Source organism: Homo sapiens, chromosome 4 (genome assembly GCF_000001405.40).
Source record: "Homo sapiens chromosome 4, GRCh38.p14 Primary Assembly".
NCBI classification, from domain to species: Eukaryota; Metazoa; Chordata; class Mammalia; order Primates; family Hominidae; genus Homo; species Homo sapiens.
In genome coordinates this window covers 150592917-150617450 of record NC_000004.12, presented here as the reverse complement: position 1 = coordinate 150617450, position 24534 = coordinate 150592917, and the positions used below count along the sequence as shown (strand labels likewise).

The window sequence follows — 24534 nt, the reverse complement described above, 5'->3', positions numbered from 1 at the left end:
AGCCTGGTCCCAAACTCCTGACCTCAGGTGATCTGCCCACCTTGGCCTCCCAAAGTGCTGGGATTACAGGCGTGAGGCCAGTGTCCAGCCAGCGCTACTTGTTATTCATTTTAAAAGTCTAGATTTTAAATGTCTAGATTAAATGTCCAGATTATTCATTTTAAATGTCTAGATTAAGTGTTTTATCGTTAAATCATATTTGTTTCTTTATGAGGTTTTTTGAGATAGTTCATATTTTAGTTCTTGAAATTAACATAGATAGTATTGCTGCTTGTTAGAGCTATTTCAGCTCCCATCAATGAATTTTTTTTCAGGAACCATTTTTTCTTAATCTTTCTCTTAACTTTTTGATTCTCCTCAAAGTTGAATATTGATACTTGAGTGTCAGTATTTGAAGTATAAACCCTAGTTGACAAGCTTGCTGACAAAATGTACTAAACTTGCCTTTGCAGGTTAATGAACTGAACATGAATAAGCCCTTAGAAGTTTGCAGGCTTTGTGATTTTGACTTTTTATCTTTTCAAATTATATTTCTCTATATCTAGTGTATTCTTACGATGTGTCAGGGTCTACTAGAATCTCTTTATGTTGTAAAATTCTATGGCATTTGTAAAGTACCATTTGGTGGATTATTTGCATTCATGCTTTCCCCCCCAAATGTTTATAATGTACTAAATCCAGTATATAATTTAAGTGACTTCTGTACTACAGTTGAATAACTGAAAGATTTATTTCTACTTGCTGAGTTTCTCTTCTCCTATTCTCTCTTGAACTTGCTTCACTCAAGCTCTTTTCCCACCATATACTGAAGCTGTTCTTTTCAAGGTCACCAGAGACATCAATATTGTTAAATCCAATAGTCATTGACTAGTCTTTAAATAAATAAATAAATAAATCCAATAGTCAAGTCTCAGTTTTCTTCTTACTTGACTTTTTGATACCCTTTGATATGGTTGATTACTACCTTCTCCTTGACACATTTTTTTCATTTGGTTTCTGGGACACTGTATTTTTCTTGTTTTCTTCTTACTGCCAATATGAGATGAGTAAACAGGTGTTCCTCTTACTACTGGCCTCTCTTCAAAATTCCTTGCTGGTTCTTCCTCGTCTTTTCAATCTCTTTATTGTTGAGCTGGTACAGGCCTTACTCTTTGTACTTTTACTTTTCCATTTTCTTCTCCAGCTTTGGTCACTTGCTTGAAAGTCTGAGCCAGTCCACACCTGTATTATGTAAACACTAGTCATCAATGTCTCTCGAATTATATATCCTGTCAGGTTCTTTCCTTTGAACTCCACACTCTTATATTCAGTTGTTTACTGAATATCTCAGCTTGGATATCTGTGTTAGTTTGGGCAGTGGTAACTGCTTTAGTGGATAGATTCCAAATCTCAGTCAGTGTCCGATCATAATAGAACATAATTTCTGTTTCATATAAATTTTATAACATGTTTCTGGTGGATAATTTCCTTCATCTTATAGCTCCATTATCCTTAGTTCTTGGCTTCCAAGAGTGCCCCATTCATCTGCATCAAAACAGTGGAAGGTGGTAGAGCATGGCCAGTTGTATGTGGAAAGTTTTATTGGCCGGGTTTGGAAGTGTGCCTCAATCACTTCTGCTTGCATGTCACTGGCTACAACTCAGTCATATTGCCATACTTAATTGCAAAGGAGATTGGGAAATATGGTCTAGTTGTGTGCCTAAGAAGAAGATGAAAAGGGATTTGGCAAATAGTTAGCCCTTTTCTGCCCCAGATTTCTAATAGGCACCCTGAATAAAACATGTTTAAAACCAAATTTTAGACTTTCTTTATTAAAACCTATTCCTCTCACATTCTCTTTTTTCTCAGGGTCAGTTCTTTTATTTTCTCAGATCAAAGTACTTGTAATATCAGTGCCTCCTCTTCTCTCACATCCCATATATGATCTGTTAGCATATTCTTTTGACTCAACCTTCAATATATATCCATAATTCAATGACTTTTTACTACTTCCACTGCTGCTATTTGTTCCCAGACATCGTCTCTCTCTCCTGGATTATTGCAAAAGCCTATAAACTGGACACTCTTTCCACTCACAGCCAGGCTCTTGCAGGAGCTGGAGTGATCACGTTAAAACATGTCAGGTCTCATCAATTCTTTGCTTATAATCTTCTAATGTCTCATTCCACAGAGAATAAAAGTCAAATTCTTGTTATAACCTATGAAGACTTAAATGATTTGGCCCTCTTAGAAACTATTTGATTTCTACTTAACTCTGTTATTCTTTATGTATCCAAAATGGCCTCCTACATTCCATCATTTCACCAAGTGTGTCTGCCTCAGGGCCTTTGCATTACTGTTTTCCCTGCCGGAAATCCTTTTGCTTTAAGATATCTGCATAACTGACACCTTCACCTCCTTCAAGTCTTTGCTCAAAGGTTGCTTTCAGAAAATTATTTCTAAGCATCTTACTTGAGATGTTAACATGTTCCCTATTACCTCCCTTGTATTTTCTGTCCCTTTTTTCTGTTTTGTCTTTGGTACTTATTGTCATCTGTCACAGATATGGCCAGCTGATAACCATAGTTTCATGCCTCTTTGTATAGTTTAAAGTTTTGCTGGGAAATGGCTACCCAGCCAGGGAACACATTGCTTTTGCAGTGTTACATGACTTAGGGAGATGAGTGGAATGTGAGTAGATTACATGTATGTCCTTTCTGGGCTGAGGTGATATATCACCTATTGGACCTTTCCTATGTTCTTTTTTCATCTCTACACTTAGCTTTAGGACTTTGATCTCTACTTCAATTATAGGTCTACTTTTTCCATGTAACATTTAATTAACTTTGTACATCACATGGTTTGGAAACTATTTTGTTGTGAACAAAATGGCTGTATGCTTGAGCTTTTCTTTCATACCCTTATTCATTTATATTTATTGCCTACCTTGTATCATAGACAATTTTAGGCAAGTTTCAATAAAACCTTGATAGGATAAATCTGAAAAATAGAAATTTAAAAATTAGTATTGAAGGCTCTCATTACATGTTGTTTATTCCAATAACTTTCTTACTTTTTTTTCCACTTTCTTGTGAAAGTGATATTTAAGATATTTCTTCCCTATAGTCTAATTTTCTATTTATCTGCAGTTATAATACCTACTTAAAACTCTTCAATATCTCCCCATTGCTATAGGGTAAAACCCAAGCTCCTTAACATGACATGGCCATGGCCTAAGCTGAGCTGGGAGAGTTGAACTGTCAGGTGTAGGAGTAGCCAATTAAAGTAACAAGCCAAAAATGAAAGGGTAAGCCTTTAATCATTAACTATGATGGTATTAGCAAGAGTCTAAATCCGAAGGAAGGGGTTGACTCCCCATTCCATTTCCCGCCATAGAATGGCATGCTTTTCAAGGGTTAGTGTGGATCTGCGCAGATGTGAGAGTCATCTTATTGTTGAAGAAACTTGAAACTAAAGACTCTGGTAGTTTTATGGACACGAGGTCAGAGGAAGGGCTAGCGGGGTGGTCTTGGAACAGGCTGAATCAGAGTAGGGAATACTGTCTTCAGAGTTTTCCCTTCCTCTCCAAGTAAGGAGTTCTAGGAAGAGATGCCTGGAGAGGATCTTAGGCCAAGGTTTCAGATACAGACCCAAGAATCAATTCATCAGGGCTAGGAATGTAAATGTGCAAAGAGCATAACTGGCCAGAGAGGCCTAAGACCTTAGCTGCAACTCCCGCCAGAGATGCAAAGCATTCGCTGTACATCAAGTCTGATGTGGGGAGTACAGCTTTTCTCTGTGAGGCCTGCCAGGTAAAGGTTTTGTAACTACCCATGGTAAGGCCTGAAAAAAATCACACATAGGTTTTAAACCAGGAGCCAGACTCCTAAAATGATTCTTCATGATCTGGCCCCTGCCCTCTATAGCCTCTTGTTTGGGCACTTCTTGCTTTATGCCGCTCCAAAAATTCTGGAAACATTTAACTTTAGCTTATACCCAATTGTTTCTTACTTGTTTGGCTTTGCTAATGCTGTTCCCTCAGAAAGAATGATTTTCCTTTTCTTATTCTGGTTAACATCTGTTAACTCTTTGACTCAATTTGTGGATTACTCACTTCTAAGAAGGCTTCTATTACTTTGGATAATGCCCTTCAACTGTGTCCCTAAGGTACCTTTTGCATATATTGTAATTATCTCTTCATATATCTGTTTCTCTTATTGGATTTTGAGGACCTTGAGAATAATGACTTTCTATCACCAAATGACCGAATCTCCTGTCTTTACTCATTGTTGGTATTCAGTATGTGTTTTTGATTAAATGAACAAGTGAGTAAATGAGTGAAATATAAGCTTATTAGTTTTTCATTCCTGATTTTTTATGTTATGGCTCTAACTTATCTTTCATATCTCATTTTCTATTGGACCGGCTAAATGAGACTGCTTCCAATTTTCAGACCTCTATACTTTTACTTAAGATCTCCTAAAAGCCTAAAATGTCATCGTCTTCTTTGTGTATCAATTGAAAATTGGCCTCTTCTTAAGGGTATTTCTCAAAAATCTCTTGCTCTTTAAAGCTTCTTGGTCCCTTTAAAACAAATGTGATTACTCTTTGCCTTTCTATCACTCTGGGTTTTTACTTTTCTTATGGTGTGGATTTTATGTCATATAATTTTTTGTTTGCTTATTTTATCCCATTTATTAGATTTTAAGTGCCTTGAGATTAGAGACTTGTGTTTTCTTCATATGAGTATTTCTTAAGGCACCTCAACCAGTTCTTTCCACACGGTAGCAGGTACTCAGAAAATATTTGTAAATGAATATAATTAAGCCAAAGTAGAGATGGTCATTGAGAACCAGAAGAAATGAAATGTAGCAAAGAAAGAGAGGAAAATAAATCACTTTAGAATGTAAATAATTGCTTCAAAATTGAAAGTACTAGAAAGTATCTAGGAGATGACAGCAACTATTCAGAGAACCGGCTTCCAACTGTCTTAAAAACCTGGAAGTGTAACATAATAAGCCTTGTTTTCCCCAGTGGATAAAAAGCACATACCTTTTGCTAACGCTTTAATTTATCCAGGTTGCAAAGTACAGTATATATATTTTTCTTTTATGTTAGTTAAAATCAGTTATTTACTCTCAGTATTTTCCTGAGAGTTTTGGTTTAAAAAGAGGAAGTGATGGATTATGCAGGGTTTTTCTTCATGTAAACTTTAAAAAATTATTTAAAGATAAAAATGTTATGCTATGGAGGGTGACTTTTTTTTTGTTCTTTTCTTGTCTTCCTGTTACTTACAAAGTATCTTAAGAAGAACAGCAACAAATGTGGTATAGGACTTGACTTTGAGAGAAATACAGCCTGGGCAAAGGGGCGAAACCCCATCTCTACAAAAAATGCAAAAATTCCCCTGGCATGGTGGCTTGTGCCTGTAGTCCCAGCTACTCAGGAGGCTGAGGTGGGAGGATCACCTGAGCCTGCGATGTTGAAGTTGCAGTGAACCGTGATTGTGCCACTGCACTCCAGCCTGAGCAACAGAGTGAGGCCTTGTCTTAGAGAGAGAGAAAGAGAGAGAGAGAGCGCGTAGAAATAAAGGTTCTGTATGCCAAAGCAGTGGTTCTTGGATATGAGATTGCTTCATGTAGATGCTTATGTAGTTCTTCCAAATTTGGGGCAAGTGATGTGGTTACTAAACATATTTCTGAATATTAATAGCTTTCAGGCTACTTACTTACAAATACTGACCCTGCACTACACAGTACTTAGTTATACTTATACATTGAAAAGCGATAGAGCCTTGTAACTCCTTACCCTTAGTCTAATAGCCTTGCTATTTGAATTTTGAGTGATGCTAATGCTGGAAAAATTATGAATTTTCTAGTTATTCTTTATTGAAATGTGTGTTGATAGGTTTTCATATAATTTATAAAATTTTTTGTTTATAGTTATATCTGTCACTTTATGAAAGAGATATTTAAACTCATACCAATATAATGAACTGTCATAAGAAGTATATTAATGAACCTCATATGAATGTCTTAGCCAAAGTAGCCTGGAAAATTTTTGGTAATGGGTAGTTCTAGTTGGGAGGGTCTAGCGCTATTTCTTAGTAACTGAATCACTCACCTTCTGGGCCTCAATTCTTCAACTGTTAAATAGGTGTTATATCTCTAATTTATATGGTTGTTTTGAGAATTAAATGAGATCACATGTAAAATACGTACTAGCATGCCTAATACATTATTGGCAGTCAGTAAATTTTAGTTCCCATCCTCTTTCCAGGAGCATAATGTAATATACTTCTTAAAAGAGTGAGGTCCTGCCTCCCTAAGCCTTCAGATGGTCTCTGCGTATAGATTGTTCAGTCCCATGATTATTTACAACAACCTTCTCCTCCCTATCCTCATCTCCTGGCTAGTGATCCTATCATTTTGAAGACTGAAGAAAGTCTTCAAGTACAGTATAATCTTCCATTCTTTTATTCTATATGTGTTTTAGTACAAGTTGAAAACATAGCAGCAGTAAATAAGGGGACTGGATATATTGATTAAATAGAATTACTGATTGTTTCATTGGAAAATCAAATTTATACTGCATCATAAGCCAGTTATATTGATTAATTATCATCAATATAAGTAGCTTGGGATGCAGGATAAATTTGATTTCCCAATGAGTCAATGTCTATAAAGCCTATGTTATTTATTTTATTAAAGTCCAGAAAGATCATGGATTTATCACCCATAGTCATCCCAGGCGTTCTTACTAGCCTACTCATTTTCCTTAACCTTCCTTATTTTGGTCTGCCAACCAAATCAGTCCTAAATCTTGAATGAGTCTGGTCAACTGCTTTGTTTTTTGTTTGTTTGTTTGTTTGTTTGTTTTTTTGTGATGGGAGTCTCACCCTGTCGCCCAGGCTGGAGTGCAGTGGTGTAATCTCAGCTCACTGCAACCTCTGCCTCCCAGGTTCAAGCGATTCTCCTGCCTCAGTCTCCCGTGTAGCTGGGATTACAGGCACACACCACCACGCCCAGATAATTTTTTATGTCTTTAGTAGAGACGAGTTTTCGCCATGTTGGCCAGGATGGTCTCGAACTCCTGACCTCGTGATTCACCCACCTCGGCCTCCCAAAGTGCTGGGATTATAGGCGTGAGCCACCACACCTGGCCTCAGCTGCTCTTTTTACTCTTTCTCCCAGGTTACTATGTATGGTCAGGGTCAGGGTATAGGAAAAATCACACAGTTCTGCAGATCGATGCTACCTCAATGGTTTCCAAACTCAGCTGGACCTTCATAAGCTATTTAATCATCCTTAAACTTTTCCTTTGTCAGCTTTCTTCTGTATTCCCCAAGGCACCTCTTCTAATTTTACCTCCTCTATTCTTTTCTTTAGTCAAAAATATGCTACGTAATAGAAAAAAAACAAACAATCAGGTGAAAATCTGGTCTTTAGTTTTTCTTCTCTTCAGCCCTGAATTTATTAAAGTACAGAGTCTTACATCCTTGGATTTTGCCACAAAGAAAGAGATGACCTTAGTTACTTCCAAGTTCATCATGTTATCTTTTTATGGGATCATACCTCTTCTGTCTTTATCAAACCCTGCTCCTGCTACCCACCTCCTACCCCCAATGCCATCTTCAGCTTCTTTGAATTCTTTGGACTTTGTCTTTTCCTTCTGCAAACATGCTTAAGTCTGTTCTTTACCTTCTTTAAACCGCCATCCTAGCTCTCTAATTCCTTTCATCGTCAAAATTTTTGAAGAGGAGATCAATATTAACCATTGCCACCAAAGCATAAGTGTTTTACTCTCTACTTTTCCTTCCAGCCACTGTAATCAAATTGCTCACAGCATCACCAGTAATCCATGTATCTGTTAGGTGGTTTCAAAGGCAAGTAATAAGAAATCTTGCACCAAGTGAACTTCCTGACTTCACTAGATTATGAAGAAGTATAATATCTCTTATAAGAAGTACAGATATGTATAGGCTTTGGGGCAGGCTTCTGGCTCCATTTTCCTGTAACTCTTTCAGTTCTCTGTCCCCGGATGTATAAACTATTTCCAATCTGGCTTCTCTCATGGATGCCTTATGACTGCCAGCAACTGGATCTACATGTTTCATTGTGTCAGACCATCAGGAAAAAGAAAGAACTCTTGTCTCAACCACTGAATAGAAGGTTTCCATTTCATATTGGTGAAAAGTGGTTGCTAGGCAGAATTTATGCAGTGATCCTCTTAAAGCTGGATTCCTGAACCAATCGCTGCTGAGAATGACCGGATTTATCATAATTTGGTCAGCTTTCCATGAGTCAGAGAAACATTTAAAAAGTGATAGATATCTGAACAAAATTGTAATTCAGTTATTAGGAAAGAGGAGAGAAGTGAATGCTAGATAGCTAACCAAGTACTTCAGTTTTCTCATCGTAAAACCCAAAGATCCCCACAAAATGGAAACAACTCAAGTGTTCATCAGTACATGAATGGATAATCAAAATGCAGCGTATCTACACAATGAAATATCATTCAGTAATAAAAAGAATGAGCTACCAATATGTGCTACAACATAGATGAACCTCAAAAACATTATGCTGAGTGAAAGAAGCCAGTCACACAATTCTACATATTGTATGGATTCCATTTATATAAAATGTCCAGAATAGGTAAATATGTTGAGAAAGAAGGTAGGCTCATCATTGCCAGGGGCTGGGAGGAAGGGAAGATGTGGAATGACGGGTAATGGGTATGGAGTTTCATTTTGGGGTGATAAAAATGTTTTTAAATTAGATCATGGTGATGATTGTACAACTCTGTAAATATACTAAAAAACGTTGAATTGTACATTTTAAACGGGTGAGCATTATGGTGTATACATTATATATCATAAAGCTGTTAAAAACACAAAACATGAACAAAGACTTCTCTTCATTTTTCATCCTTTTGAGCATGTTTAAGCAGAATTAAATAATGGTGCCCGCTGACTGCTTTGAAACATTTTTGCTCATTTGTCTTTTTTGGCACCGTTCTATTTTGGTTCTCCCATTATCTTATTGACTGTAAGGCACTGTTACTTCCCTGTTTCTTTTACTGATCCTTTTCTGTTCTGCAATATTCATCCCCATCTTTCTCCTGCCCTTTCAATAGACTCTTCTCTGGGTCTAGCAAAATACCCAGGCTTACAATAAACACTCAGTACATTTTTGTTAAATGAATGCTAAATCTACTGACTCCCAAGACTAACCAGTCTCCCTATTTTCTTATATATTTTTTGAGACAGGATCTCACTCTGTTACCTGGGCTGGAGTGCAGTGGCACAATTTCAGCTCACTGCAACCTCAACCTCTTGGGCTCAGGTGACGCTCCCACCTCTGCTTCCCAAGTAGCTGGGACTACAGGCGTGCACCACCACACCTGGCTAATTTTTGTATCTTTTCTTTTTTCTTCCTGAGACGGAGTCTTTCTCTGTCACCCAGGCTGGAGTGCAGTGGCGCGATCTTGGCTCACTGCAACTTCTGCCTCCCAGGTTCAAGCAATTCTCCTGCCTCAGCCTCCCAAGTAGCTGAGATTACAGGCACATGCCACCATGCCTGGATAATTTTTGTATTTTTAGTAGAGACGGGGTTTCACCACGTTGGCCAGGCTGGTCTCAAACTCCTGACCTCGTGATCCGCCCGCCTCAGCCTCCCAAAGTGCTGGGATTACAGGTGTGAGCCACCGTGTCTGCCTAATTTTTGTATCTTTTGTAGAGAGAGGGTTTCGCCATGTTGGCCAGGCTGGTCTTGAACTCCACGGCTCAAGTGATCCACCTGTCTCAGCCTCCCAAAGTGCTAGGATTACAGGCCTGAACCACCATGCCTGGTCAATCTCCCTATTTTAAATCTCTAGCACAGGCCTCTTCTCTTTCAATTCCAGTGTTATATTACTTACCTATTAGAAATACCTGCCTGGATGTTATTAGGCATCTAGGATGCGATTATTTTTCCCAGTCAGGCCTGTTTAACCTGTATTTATTTTAATTAAATAGCATCTTTATCTTCTAACTTCCCTCTTGTTACAGCCCTTGATTTTATTCTCATTATCTTTTTCCTCACCTCCCATATTTGAATATCATGTGAAGTCTTATCTATTCTACCTCAGATATGTCTTTAAACCCTTCACTTCTAGGCTCCATCCTCACTGCCTTAATCCAGACATTCTGTATGTTGCTGCCGTGTAGCATACAAGCCTGATCATATTAAACCTCTTGTGAAAGCCTGATGCTGTCTCTGTAGACTCTAGGATGTACAGGTAGTTACTTTAGTTAACTCTACAAGGTCTTTTGAAATCTGGTTCTAAACCTATGTTTTTTACCTTAGCTTTTCCCATCCTAAGGCTGTCTAGCTGTGATTTCTTACCAAAACTTCCTTAAATTACAGAGCCCTTTTACATTTCCATGCCTTTATCCATGCTATTTCTTGGCTTATAGTGCCTTTTCCATTTTGTTCAGCAGACTCCTGTTTATCATTTAAGTTTCTGTTTAAAAGTCATCGGTTTACTCTTTGATCAATTATTTATTAAGTGGCAGTTTTGTAACAGTTACTGTGCTTGGTCAGTGAATTACGCATAAACCCTTCTCTTCATGTAACTTACAAAATAGATCCTCATTGAAATCTTAATGAAATCCTGAGTCCTCCCAGGCAGGGTTAATTAGTACTTTGATCATAGCTATAATAGTAACGAATAAGATGTTCAAGAGGAAATGCTATGTAGTGAAAAGCTCATTGGCTTAGACGTCATCAGACTTATTATTTACTACCAATGGGTAAAACTTACTTTCGTCACCTTTAAAATGAGAATAGCAGTATTTAATCATGGCAGGGTTGTTGAGGCTTGGCGGTACTGTATATAACAGAGAACAGTGTGTAGCACAGAGTAGCCTAAAGTAATATAGTCTATTTTAACTTATTTTTTTTATATTTAATAATTTCCTTGTCCCCATTGTCCTGTGTAGGTTGAGCCCAGCATCATTCATTTGTATGTACCACAATCTGGTACATAGTTGGCACTCAACAAGTGTTTGGTGAATTTTTTTAAATTAGATATTTGGGGACAGTATAATAGATTTGTCTAAATAGTGAGGCTGAGGTGAGCTTTAAGGCTTCTGGTTCTTAATAACATCATTTTAATGGTTTTTTTTCCTAGATGTCTTTTGTTAGAGCTTTAACTGGTAGTATAACACCAGATTTTGATAGTCTCATAACTTTACTCAATCCCTGGTAAAAATTCTAAGTGAAGAAAGAAATGGTCAACTGGCTAACAACAGACAGGAAAAGCTTGGGATCATTTCTTGAATAATTAACTTGGTTGCCAAATGTCCAAACTAATAATTAATTGAAGATGGATATCTAGATGGCTTTAAAAAACAAATACAGACATACATTGAATAGTGACATGCAGAAATTCCTAATTACATAAAATTTGATTTTACATAATTAAATAAAATATATGATACTCCAGTGTCTCAATGTCAGGCCTCAATAAAGAAAGAATTCTGCTTTAGTATGTGTCTTCTCTGCTGGAATCCACACAATTGAAGGGTTTGTTTTTGTTTTTGTTTGTCCTTTTCATTAAGACAGCATAATGCATAGATCAGCTGCCCTTGATTTATAGTTGGTACTTGGTAAACAGAGGTTTTAGTTAATTTTCTTTTTATTTGCATGAAGGCACCATAGATTTCAGTTTGTGAGGTAAAGCATTCTCTTATATTGTATGATACCTATAGTACCTGAACATTATTTCACCAAGATTTATACAGAATGTGAAACCTTTCTAGAACTTAAGTGCTTTTTATCTTCAAGCTGACAGTGCTCTGAAAATGTTTACTGCTTTTTAGGGGTTACCATTTATTTCAGTTGTAACTAATGTCTACTATGAATTTTTAATCTAAAAATATGGAAATAGAAGCTAGTCAGATATAGGAGTTTAAAAAACAGGCAATGTGAAAATTTAAGAACAAAATATGAAGTGCTAAAATGTTCTAGGATTTGGAACTTTAGCTAGGAGAATTTCTTACTGACTTCTGTTAAGGTTATCAAGATTTATCAGGTATTGCCAAAGCAAAGTGGGCGAGATGGAAAATGGGAAAATTTTCTAATATGATTGTGTTTTGACAGGTTTTCTTTTTAAAACTCATATACTTTTATTGACATATTTAAGTTACATTAAAATGACACTAAAACCAGTGAGATGATAGACATGAATACATTTGACTCATTTGATAATAGGTGCCAATTCATCTAGGTTGTAGAATAACTGGGATACTTACATAGCTACCACTGATTTCAGTAATTAACATTGTTCTGGAAACTACTCTGCTTTAATACAGCAATATCCAGAAAGTTATCTACTTTAATATAGCAATGCGAACTTAATGGTTTTTGGTTAAATAAATGTTAATATTTCTCTTATGTACTTAATTATTTCATTCTTTTTATTGAATTTTGCTTGTGTTTTGACAACCAAGCATCTTCCTAATATGTCCACTTTTTCCTACAGCAGGGAAATACTGACTGTGCAACTGCCACTGATAGTGTCTGAAGGGCTTTGTTCTGTTTCCTGTTCCCAAGTTTAGATTTAACTTTTGGATTCCAGAGAAAGAAAGGAGCCTGAGCATTGAATTGTGGGGCAGGGGAACTGGGGGATGTGTGGGTAAAGGTAGTATTCTCCTAGCACTTGGGCTGTGGCATATAGTAATGTACAGTGAGCATTGCATAACTCCAGGGCATGTTATTTACAAAAATTTTGATGTGAAAAGTGCCCCCTGGAGTTGTGCACCTTAATAGCCATGTAGTAAAGCTCTGTTCTGTTACACATACTTTTTTGAATTCTTATTATTTGTTTTTGCATCTGCCTTTTCCATGACATCAGGGACAACATTGTAATAATCCTTGTATTGCCACAGCTGACTCAGGTAAATAATAAATAATTGTTATTAGAAAATATATTGGTATTTTATTAGAATATTTGGCCATTCATACCATGTTAACTGGCTAATTGGGTTTCAAAAAATCTAAACTTTATAATTCCTTTTTTTTTTTGGAGATAGTCTCTCCCTCTGTCAGCCAGGCTAGAGTTCATTGCCATCATCAGAGCTCACAGCAACCTCCAACTTATGGGCTCAAGAAACCTTCCCACCTTAGCCTCCCAAGAAGCTAGAACTACAGACATGCACCACCTCACCTGTCTAATTTTTTTTTTTTGAACCAGGGTCTTGCTATGTTGCCCAGGCTGGTCTTGAACTCCTGACCTCAAGCAGTTTTCCTTCCTTAGCCTCCCTGAGTTCTAGGATTACAGGCATTAGCCACAGTGCCCAGCCTAAAAATTCTTACAATTAACATGAGAAAAATAATAGTCAAATTTGTATAGTTGTATCATTTAACTATTAGAGGAAAAATGTGAATCGTACCTTAGTTGTTGATTTTGTTTTAATACTTCTGCCTCTTCCAAATGATTCTCATTTGTTTAATTCTTATTCATTTGTTCTACCTGATCAAATCAGTAACCATAAAGGGCCTAGGAAATAGAATAAATAGCCTATCTATTGATGTTTGAGTTATATTTCTTTCTAAAAATTTAATAATCTATCAAATTCTGTTCTTGTAGAACATAAAACATATATTCTATGTATTAAAATGGCATTGCCAGCCAAGCTCAGTGGCTTGTGTCTGTAATCCCAGCTACTCAGGAGGCTCAAGGAGGAGGATCATTTGAGGCCAAGAGTTCGAAACCAGCCTGGGCAATGTAGCAAGATCCCATCTCTAAGAAAATAAAAAAAATTAGCCAGATTACTAATTTTTGTACTGGGGAGGATGTCTCAGTTACTGGGGAGGATGAGGCAGGAGAATCTTTTGAGCCCAAAAGTTAGAGGCTGCAGTGAGCTTTGTTCTGTTCCCTCATGTTGCCACTGCATTCCAGCCTGGGTGACACTCTACCATCTTAAAAAACAACAACAACCACAAAAAAGCCATGACATTGCTTTATGTTATTTTATGTAGATTATAGTGATGTATTAAAGGTGTGTGTATACAAACACATAACGTGAAAGTTTTTTAAAAAGTAGAAACATAATTAGATGACGTATATGTAGAAAAGTCCAATAGACTTACATGGTAATTTTAACTTCAGACTCTGAAGTTAGACCAAAGAACGAAAAAACTAAATTAAAAAATAATTAGAAAGATTATAATATTTAACTTCAGTGCCATCCATAACTTTTTAAAGACATATGTTCCACCAGTCAAAGACTTTAGTACCTGGAGATTGTGTCCTAAGAGGAGCCCTAAGTAGGGCATCTTTGTAGAGAAGGGCTTATGTCTTCTGAAGGAAATAGTATTTCCAGATCTAAAACTTAGGCTAACCTCTTTACTTTGAAGATTTTGAGGATCTTAGTGGAAATGGATATGAGTGAAGTTTGTGAAAGGGTGTTGTGTAGTATTAATATAACTTTTGGGGATAGATACAGATATATAAAGGTATAGGTATATAATGTGATCTAGATATGTACTTATAAGGTGCCAGAATAAGTGATTTCTGATCTTATCCATGCTTATATTTGGTCAACAGTCTGTTTCTGAACACATGAAGTCTTTTAAATTTTGCTGATCGTACCATGGTGATAACTACAAAAATGTATAATCTTTTAATTACTTTATAACCTTTTGGGAAGAGGGTTGGATCACTATGTTATTAATAAATTTGCCAATTTTGTATCCTCTTTTGCCTGGAAGAGGCTTTTGAGGAAGGGACGGGGTAGGGAACAGTATTTCTTAAATGAGAGTGAAGAAAGTAAGTTGAAGACCAAAACCTACACATTCTCCTTTATAATACTGTTTTAAAATGACAAAGCCGGCCTCATTTTTGTGTGTGTGTGTGGTAGAGCGTTATACTGAGAGTATGTGTTGTTGGAGGGAGCAGACTTAGGGAAACAAAACATTGTACTTTAGGCCCAGGTTTGTTACTGTGTAAATGACTTTAAATATGCTAGTTATTAAATATATTTAAATGACTTTAAATATATCTCAAATAAGTGGGTGTGTGGCTTTTTCTCCAAAAACATGTATTACCTACACAATCTGAAATTGGGTGATAAATGCTATTTTCTCAAATGAGACTAATAGCTAACTGTTTGATTATAAGTCTATTACATGAGAACTTTGTACACTGTAGCACCTGGAGCAGTGCTTTATATGAAGAGACTCTCAAAAAATATATTGAAATTGTTGGTCTTTTGAAATGATTTTTATAATTCTTTCTAGATATGTGATCTGAACTAAGTGATATTTGCTTTGTCTTCAGATTGTTTTTAATTGTGTTGTAACTGGATTGTGTTGGAAAAATAGTCCTTAAGTGACATAGCTTCAGGAGATTGTAAATATTATCATGCTGTGGTATTACAGGTCGTTTATTCTATTTGGACCATGTTTAAGTATTTAAAAAAATTATTGATAGAATAGGCCGGGTGCGGTGGCTCACACTTGTAATCCCAGCACTTTGGGAGGCCGAGGCGGGCGGATCATGAGGTCAGGAGATCAAGACCATCCTGGCTAATATGGTGAAACCCTGTCTCTACTAAAAACACAAAAAATTAGCCGGGCATGGTGGCAGGCGCCTGTAGTCCCAGGTACTCGGGAGGCTGAGGCAGGAGAATGGTGTGAACCCAGGAAAAGGAGCTTGCAGTGAGCAGAGATAGTGCCACTGCACTCCAGCCTGGGTGACAGAGCGAGACTCCAACTCAAAAAGAAAAAAAAATTGATAGAATATATTTGAAGACAGTATGTATGTCTGCATATATATATATAGTTAGCAGAAATGAAACAACTTTCATTTCTATTATGTGAACAAATTCTCAGTTCCCTGATGCATTGGTGTTTTTGTTTTAGCCAAATGTCACCATTTTGACCATTTTTTTTAGTGTCAAGGTATAAAAATAAATATTATCGTTTTATTTCCTCCTAATTTTGGTTATTTTTGCTATAGATATTATCTTTGAGTTACTTGATAATTTGTGAATAATTTTATAATTCCTCTGGTTTTTCTGCTGTGTGATAAAAGTTATTGTGCATATGCTTAATAGCCATTGAATTTGACTTCACTGTGGTGCATTATAGTAGAATCTATTGTTACCTAATTTAGTCATAATTTTATCATAGCAGCTTAACATCTCTTATAATTTTAATTGTTATCAAGAAGAATGACATCATTTAATTTGACTCAAAATGTAGAAGGATGGATGAATGACAAATTAATAATTTACTACCTTTGCATAATACTGAAGCATAGAGTATTAGAAGGATAGATGGCAGAAAAGGTTAACAAATTTGAGCAGCTTTCATTAGCTTTACATCGTCATATGTTTGTGGTGCTGACTGAAATAGGCTTTGTAGGAGATCTCAGTCTAGGGAACTAATTACTTGTGCCGATTGCCGCACTGATGAATAGACCCTCATTGTATCATTCCCCTGAAGGCGAGGAGCAGCCTGTGATTCACGACTGCATCCTGGCTGATATTTGATAATAATTTTAACAGATAAATGTAGGTAGGCAGAATGATGAAGTGCCTATCCAAGCTCCATGACTATCAAAGCCATACACACAGCCATCTGTGTACTGCCTTTTTCCTTCTCACCTAAGGAGAATTTCATTTTATTAATTGAGTTAAAACAACTGTTGTCTTTTGATTGTATGTATATTCTGTGGGTATTTATTTATTTTTAAATAATATCATCATGTTTTTATTCAAATTTAGACAGAATAATGAAGAAATATATAATAATAGCTTTTTAAATTTTTCTTTTTGAGAACTGCAATTCTTATACTTTTTTTGTATTACATTTTGATTACATTATATCTCCTTCTCCTGACCAAAATCACCCAAGGAAATATTTGATGTTCTTATCCCTTCAGCATTTTCAGAGATCAGTCTCTACTGTTTTAAAAAGATTTTCTTTAAATAACGTACTGTTTATGCTTTTTATTAATACAAGATAGTTTTTAATTGATAAAAGTACTTATTTATAAACCTATTTTGAATTTTTAAAGAGAACATCTTTAAAACATCAAAATAAAGGTAACTTTTACTTGGGTAGTTTGGGACTGTCAGTTGTTGAAGACTACTAATTTGTCAAAGCTGACAGATACAATTTTATTAGCTCCCGAAATATAAGTAAGATTGTATTTTGTATTAGTCATTCCTGAAGAAGTTTTGATTATGAATAATTTTTTAATTTCATTATTGAAACTTACAGGTGTTCCTGCTGTATATCTTTATTGAATTAATGTATTCTACAGAGACTTTTTTCTTACTATAACTGAAAACACTTTAGTATTTTCCTTATAAAATATTTTTCCAGCATGCTAGATCATGATTAGTTAACAAGAGAGAAAGCTGACATTTATATATTGCCATATAAAATGTGTATGTAATAGGGGAAATATAGAATTTGAAATGAGCAAACCTTTTTTTAAAAAATACATTTCCAAAAGTATGCTTTTGATATAGCAATTATTGCACATCATATAGCATGTAGTTTTTAATTAAATATAAAAACAGAGTACATAAAACAGAAATCCAATCTGATTTGCTTGAAAATAGATTGCTATTTCACTCTACAGGAATGGTTTATTTAAAAACAGTAAATGGAAAAGAAATGCATTTTCTTGTGTTGTTCTAAGCCTCAGGGGCTAAATGTAATGAATATTTTAAGAGATTATTTTAATTAAATTCCTGCACATCTAAACAGAGTAATATTTTATTATCACATACATAACCATGTAACTGAGATATTCATTAAAGTTAACACTTTCTGGACCAAGAATTCATGGTATGATTTACTGACCTTGTGCAAAAAGGCACAAATTAGGAAGAAAAATGAAGGGGGACGGACTTTGATTAATATAGGTAATGCTATACCATATTTATAATAGCCTTTTCCCTATTCTGGTTTATAAATGCAGCTACAGAGAAAGGTGCCCTGCTGAGGCTGAAATGAGGCTGAAATCAGAGCACATGCCACTAGAGTGTGGGGAAACTGATCACACTGTCAGCAATTCATTTCAAAATGATGTATTTAGTGCTCATTTCACCTTCCAAGAAAAGGAAAAGGAGTTCCTTAGACTAGAAGGTGATATTGTTATTTTCAAGGACATACCTAAGTTAAAGATTGCAGAAAGGGGAGTGTGAGATGGAGGGAGAATTAAGTGGAAGGAGAGGGAAAAAAAGGCAGAGCAAACAAGGAGAGCTTTATGCAGAAATTCAGTGCTACCACGCTGTTTGATAATTGCTAACATATGTGGCTTCTCTGTTTCATTGTAGTCGTCCTCTTGAGTTCTGGCGCCTTGACTACTGGGAAGATGACTTGCGGCGCCGGCGACGATTTGTGCGTAACCCTCTAGGATCGACACATCCTGAAGCGACACTAAAAACAGCCGTGGAACATGGTCAGTGTATAAACCATTCCTTGCCAATAGCAGCAGGTACAGGACTTGGTAATGAAGAGCATAACTTCATTATTACAAGGCACTGTAAAATGGTCCAACACCACATTTTATGGTTGTTCATACCAGAAAGAGAAGTTAAATTTTTTTATAGTTACTATAGAGTCCTATTAAATTATGGTGTCAAGTATATTTATTAATTATGTTACACATACAAAACTTACTTAACATAGACCCTTTGTTTCAGAGTACAAAGATTAAATATGTCTCCTTTTAAGCGACACATTCAGCTTTGAGTAAATGAATCCAGGAGGCATGCCTTAAATCCATGAATATCAGGAAGACAGCATTTACAAACCAGATAAGTTTCTAGGTTCTGTTGTGTATACATGGTTTTCGCCCAATCCTGGTATTTTAGCATGAGATCATGAACTGGGAAAGATAATAATAAATGTCCAATTGCCTAGATACTTTCTGAGCCTTGATTTGAAGATGGTTATGATAGATGGCTCATGGAAAAAGAGAATAAACATTATTTTCATACGTTCCTATTCTATATTATTTTGTTATCAGAGCTTAACAAAACATTTTTGCTTTTTTGATACAATGCATATGACTATGATTCAGTTTAGGTAAAAGTCTTATAAGTAAATTGGAAAAACTGAAAATTTCCTTTGGATTTGATACTATAAATTTTTATAAAATTTCACTTATTTTATGATTTTTGAAAGTCAATTAAGATATATTGGTTAAGGGGGAAATGCTCCTCCCCACATTAAAATTATCCTGACTTTATAAAATATAAATTGGTTTTTAATAAAGTCAGAAGTACTTTTAATTTTCCTTTTTCAGGGTATTGTTTTAACATGCAGGAGCTTGTGATTAAATGGAAATATGTAGCATACAAAATAAATGTTAATTTATATTCAATAAGGATATTAAGAATTTAGATTAAAAATCTGTAATCTTAGGTTTGGCCTCAGTCAGGCAGCTTAACCTCTTGCACTCAGCCTTAAAGAGCCATTTCTGGAAGAAAATGTCCACAATATGTCATCAGATATAACACCACATGTTACATCAGTCCTTTAAAATAAATGATCATACAGAGAATAGTCAATAACAAAGTGATCTAAAAGCAATAATAGTCTCATGGCCCTACATCTTCAACTACAGGAGGTGGAGAAAGAGAAATAAAATGTAGAATTAATTAGGCCACTTTTGCTTTTAGAGTACATATAGTTTTTAGGTGGTGATAACAGATTTCAGAGGGTTTTTTTTTCTTTTTTTGTGTGTTTTTTTGGATTTTCTGGTTTGTTTTGGTTAATGATGCTTACATGGAGAAGGTGAACTTTTTTTGCAATTTTTAACAAAATGTATTACCATGTCCACTTAAAATTTGAAATTTAATTATTTTTCTGTCTTCTAAACCATCATTTACAGTAATTTGTGAGTTCTGAGATCTATACATGGCAATATGTTTTCGTAAAAACATTTTCCTTTTATATCTGGAAGGGGAGGATTTGTTTTCTAAAATTGCACATAGATAGGCTGTTAATCTTTTATCCTTAGATATCAATAATTCAATTTAAAATTTGTGGTATAGATTTAATATAGAATTTATTAAAATATTCTTATCAAAAATAGTACATTTAACCATTTTGAAGAGTTACAGGATTTTTAATGAATAAATTTTAATTGTTGAGCTCTTAAAATCATATTGTTTTGTCAGCTTTTTTAATGCTAAGCATCTGCATTAAAGTTTGACAAAAAAGAATTTATTAACATGTTTTTACTATCATCCTAAGACTCTTGACTTGTATAGAAGTAGATTTCACTCTGATTACTCTCGATAGTAATTGAAAGGTTAATCCAATGTTAATTATCTATGTTTTAGTGTGCATTTTTAAATTGAGAGAGAACAGCAAAGGTAAGCATTGAGTAATATTTTATAGTAATTTTATGATTATTGTCATACTCCAAAATGTTAAAAACAAAACTTGCGTTTGAAATATATGTTTAAAAATCTAAATGTGTAGGAGATTCTTCAGTTGTCTTACAATTTCAGAGATATATCATATTTAATATTTACTATAACATTTTTTAAAAAAACACAAATTCTAATCCTACCTCATATTTATTTTATTTTAAATAAAAAGGGAATAAATTCAGCACATAGATTGTATTATGGTATTGTTCGATGTTAGAAAATTTATGCTAATATATTCTGTAAACAAAGAGCTTAATTTTTTACTGGTGTATTAAATATTTTATGGTGACATTCAATTTTAATTTGGTGTTTAAAAATTTTGGAGCATTAAAGAAGCTAATCAAAATAAACTTATTAAGAATTAAGTATGCAAAACAAAATTGTTAATGTGATCAAAAAGCAGTTGAAATTACAGATTTTAACATGGATAAATACCGTGCTTCAATGTTGAATTTAAATGTTTAAAATATATATTAATGAGGATAGTATGTCATTCTTATATTTTTATGACTTCTCACTTTTATTTATAATTTATTTAACTAAGGAGATAGGACATTTTAAAAATGCAGAATCTTAGAACACCATGAACTATATTATCATTATCAAAGGAAGACATCTAAATAGAAGTGCCATTGGAGATCAGTTACGTATTTTAGTAGTAAGAGCCATCTTTTTTATAGATTGATTTGATTTGAAGGAAAGCCTCTAGTGTAAAGGTGGCAGAGTAAATACCTGAAGAGTGATGTTCTCTGTTTGGGCGATCAATACCAGCCCCATGACTCTACTTCTGGCTACCTTCTAGTTAAAAACAAATTTTTTAATTCTGACAATTTAATTGCCCTTCCCAAGTTCACATTAACTTGCTTGGGGAAAAAAGCTTTAGGTAATTTTTCAAGCAGAGACCCTCCAAAGTGGTTATTTATAAAAGTCATGCTGTAATGGGAGATTTCTTTAACTTTGCAGAAACTGAGTCATATTTTAAAATTAAAATTAATACTTCCTCTTATGATTAAGTATTCTTTATGGAAATTAGCAGCTCAAGCAAAGCTGGGCATTTTATTCTTGAGGGCATTTTCTTCCATTTTATAGTTTTAAAATTTATTAGAAATTGGTAGCAATGATTTGTAACATTTTCCTAATGCCAGAGCCCTGGTTAGCTGTTACTTACTATCAGAGCATTTTAGATGTAGAAGGAACCTAAGGCTAACATCTAGTCTAACTTTATTCTTTACAGATAAGGAAACTGAGGAAACAAAGGGCCAGTATAATTTTTGGTAGATAAAGGACTAAAGCCCAGGTTAACTGACTGAAACCCAGATTTTCATATCAGTGTGCTGTGCTGTCCTCTAAAATTCATTATTAAATATAACGGGAATTTTATATTTAAATTAAAGACATGTAAAAAATGTTTTAAACGGTAGAAAGATTGGTTTTAATTCAGGTGCTAAAACAGTTTAGCAGAGAATCCTATTGAATTCAAGACATTTTTATTTGGTAGAGAACGTGCTTGCTAATAGAAATATATAAGGAGAATTTAACATAGTTTTAAAAGTATCTTGTAAGCATATGGAATGATACAAGTAACTCATTTGGTTTTCTAGGGATGACAGATCATGTAAAGATCTTAAATCGTGCCATTGTCTCATAACTTCAATAATGCCAGATACTGTTGCTTCCTTTTTAGGATCAACATATACTAGGTTCTCTATCTAAAATTTTGGTTAGCCCATGATTATTACGAGATGCACCTGGCTTATTCTCCTAATTATCCTTTGTAGTTTCATTAATTTTTACAGAGTCAGTTTTCTTGACTTGGAATGCTATGGACATGGCATAAACTATAGAGGGGAATCAATTAGAACAATAGTTGATTATAAGATATTCTTTATGTGTCCTGTTCAGAATGCTGTTATGGTGTGTGCTTCAGATCACATAAGTAGATACCCATTTTTATTTTATGTATGTTTGAAGGCACTCTGTTATTCTAATAGTAGTCTTTTTTAAAAATGCTAATTCTTAAAGTATAAACTTCTTTTACTTTAATACAGACTATTGATGATTCCAGTTCACTTGCTCAGTAGATGTTAAAAAGGATTTATATCAAAGGTGGAACAGTTTTTGTTGTGTGTGTTTTTGCTGTTTTTATATTTTAATTCTACTTACCTGTTTTGTGGTGGATAGATAAATCAACTCATGTCCAGAGTTAGCTCTGAAGAACTTGAATTTTACATTTTGGGGACCAGCCTCTCTCTCTTAGGCCTTTCATTGTTCTTAGCCTCAGTGAATCAAATCATTTTTAAAGATGACATTTCTGACAGATTTCTCCAATTTTATGTAACAATTGCAGTTTAAGTATTAAGTTAGGATAAATATTAAACTAGAATAAAAGGTGAAATTAAACCAGAATAAAAGGCATTTCTTAATAATGATATGAAAAATTTAAACAGCAATCATGTTAGTAACAATTTTATTAGCCAGAAATATCTGAATTGAGCTTTAAAATGGAACCCAAAGTATATTCTGACTTCATCCAATTAACTTTTAGACGTGTGTAGAATATGCTCACAGAAGATATCAAAATACTTGTTTATAATGGTTGATTGAGAATAAGGCAAATGAAAGTTAAAAATATACTTTTCCCCAGTACATATAAACATGATAATAATCCTTTATTTTATGCTTGGAAAAGTTTTGTTCTAATTTTTTTTTAAGGTTCTTTAGCAGAAAGCTATTAGACCACTGAGAATTGAACACCAGCGCATGTGGTGTATATTAGAGTACTGTTGGTAATTTTACTGCTGCTAACTTAAAATCCTCAAGGGGGAGTTAATTACAGGAAAACCATTCTAAATATCAGTAAGCTGCATATTTTCCATGACAAGAGGTTTTTCAGTGGAGCTTGAACAATTCCAGAATCTGAGCTTGTAAAAATAAGTAAATAAATAAATTAAAGTGGGTGTGTGTATGCATACAGTACACCTATAGTATGTAAAATTTTTAATGAAACTTTAATTCAGAAGTTACCTTACTGTGTTTTAATATAGGCAGCATGATTAGAACATATTTAAAAATTTTTTAATTGCAATTGGAAGGGATAATTATATTTCTCGTGGTCATTTATAAATGAATGTGAATTTATTTTTTGAGCTATTTTAAACCATTACATATTGCCACTGGGGACTCTCATTTTTTTGTAAATGTTTGCAGATTAAAGAGGTTTCTTCTTTTTTCCTTTCACATAAGCTTGGTGTACTTTAGGACATGTATGGCAATAATCAGAGGAAGTAATGAGCAGGGTGTTTAGTTGTTTCTGATGTGTTTGGCATGTTCATCAATTTTAGATTTGGAAATGAATATTTTTTGTTCTTGATTATTATTCTCATTTAACCTTTTAAAATGCACTATGAAAAACAAGAATTAGTAAACAAATTAATTATATACACATTCATATTTGAACAGTGGTTGTTTTGTTTTCTTTCTGTTTCTTACATCTAAGAGCTAATATGGCATCGTGGTTAAGAGCCCAGCTTCTGGCACCGTGCTGCCTGTTTTTAAATCCTGACTCTAATTGTCAAACGCATGTTAACTTGGTCAATTTATGTAACCTCTTTGAGCCTGCTTTCTTATCTTAAAATTAGAACTAAGCAGAAGGTTTATGAGAATTAAATGAATTAACTATGTAAAGTATTTTTAACACTACTCCCTGACTTATGCAAAATGATATGTAATATTAGCCTTATTATTATTTCTGCTTTGAAGAAGGAATTATAAATCCAAGAAATAAAAAGAATGTGGTATACTTATTCTGTACTAAAATCTAACTGGAAAATAATAATTTATTATAATTTACTTTATAAAAACATTTAGAAGATGGTGCTTCATTTGCATTTCTCAGTGGCCAATATATTTTTAATAATGTTGATAGCAAACTGCAAAAGATCTTGTTTAGCCTCAGGGCAGTGTTTCTGATTTTAGAGTAAGGAACTATAAATACTTGAAATATAAGTGATTTTAGAACATAGTTCTGTTTTTCTAAAAATTATTGGTTAATTGTAAGTATATTTCTTTTTAGCCTTTAAAAAAAAAATAGGCCAGGTGAGATGACT

At 34.4% G+C, this 24534-nt stretch overlaps 1 protein-coding gene across 9 annotated transcripts in view; it reads left to right on the top strand.

The window, feature by feature from the left end:
• Positions 1-24534, top strand: part of LRBA (LPS responsive beige-like anchor protein) — a 751293-nt gene that overhangs the window by 398277 nt on the left and 328482 nt on the right. For 5 of the 9 annotated variants that reach the window (XM_047416462.1, NM_001367550.1, NM_001199282.3 and 2 more), the window contains exon 38: positions 18320-18444. In XM_047416462.1, coding sequence (XP_047272418.1) covers positions 18320-18444 — 125 coding nt within the window. Of the gene's footprint in view, positions 1-18319; positions 18445-20335; positions 20369-24534 lie in introns of all 9 variants that reach the window. The other 4 variants (NM_006726.5, XM_005263373.4, XM_011532434.3 and 1 more) reach the window with 1 other exon arrangement.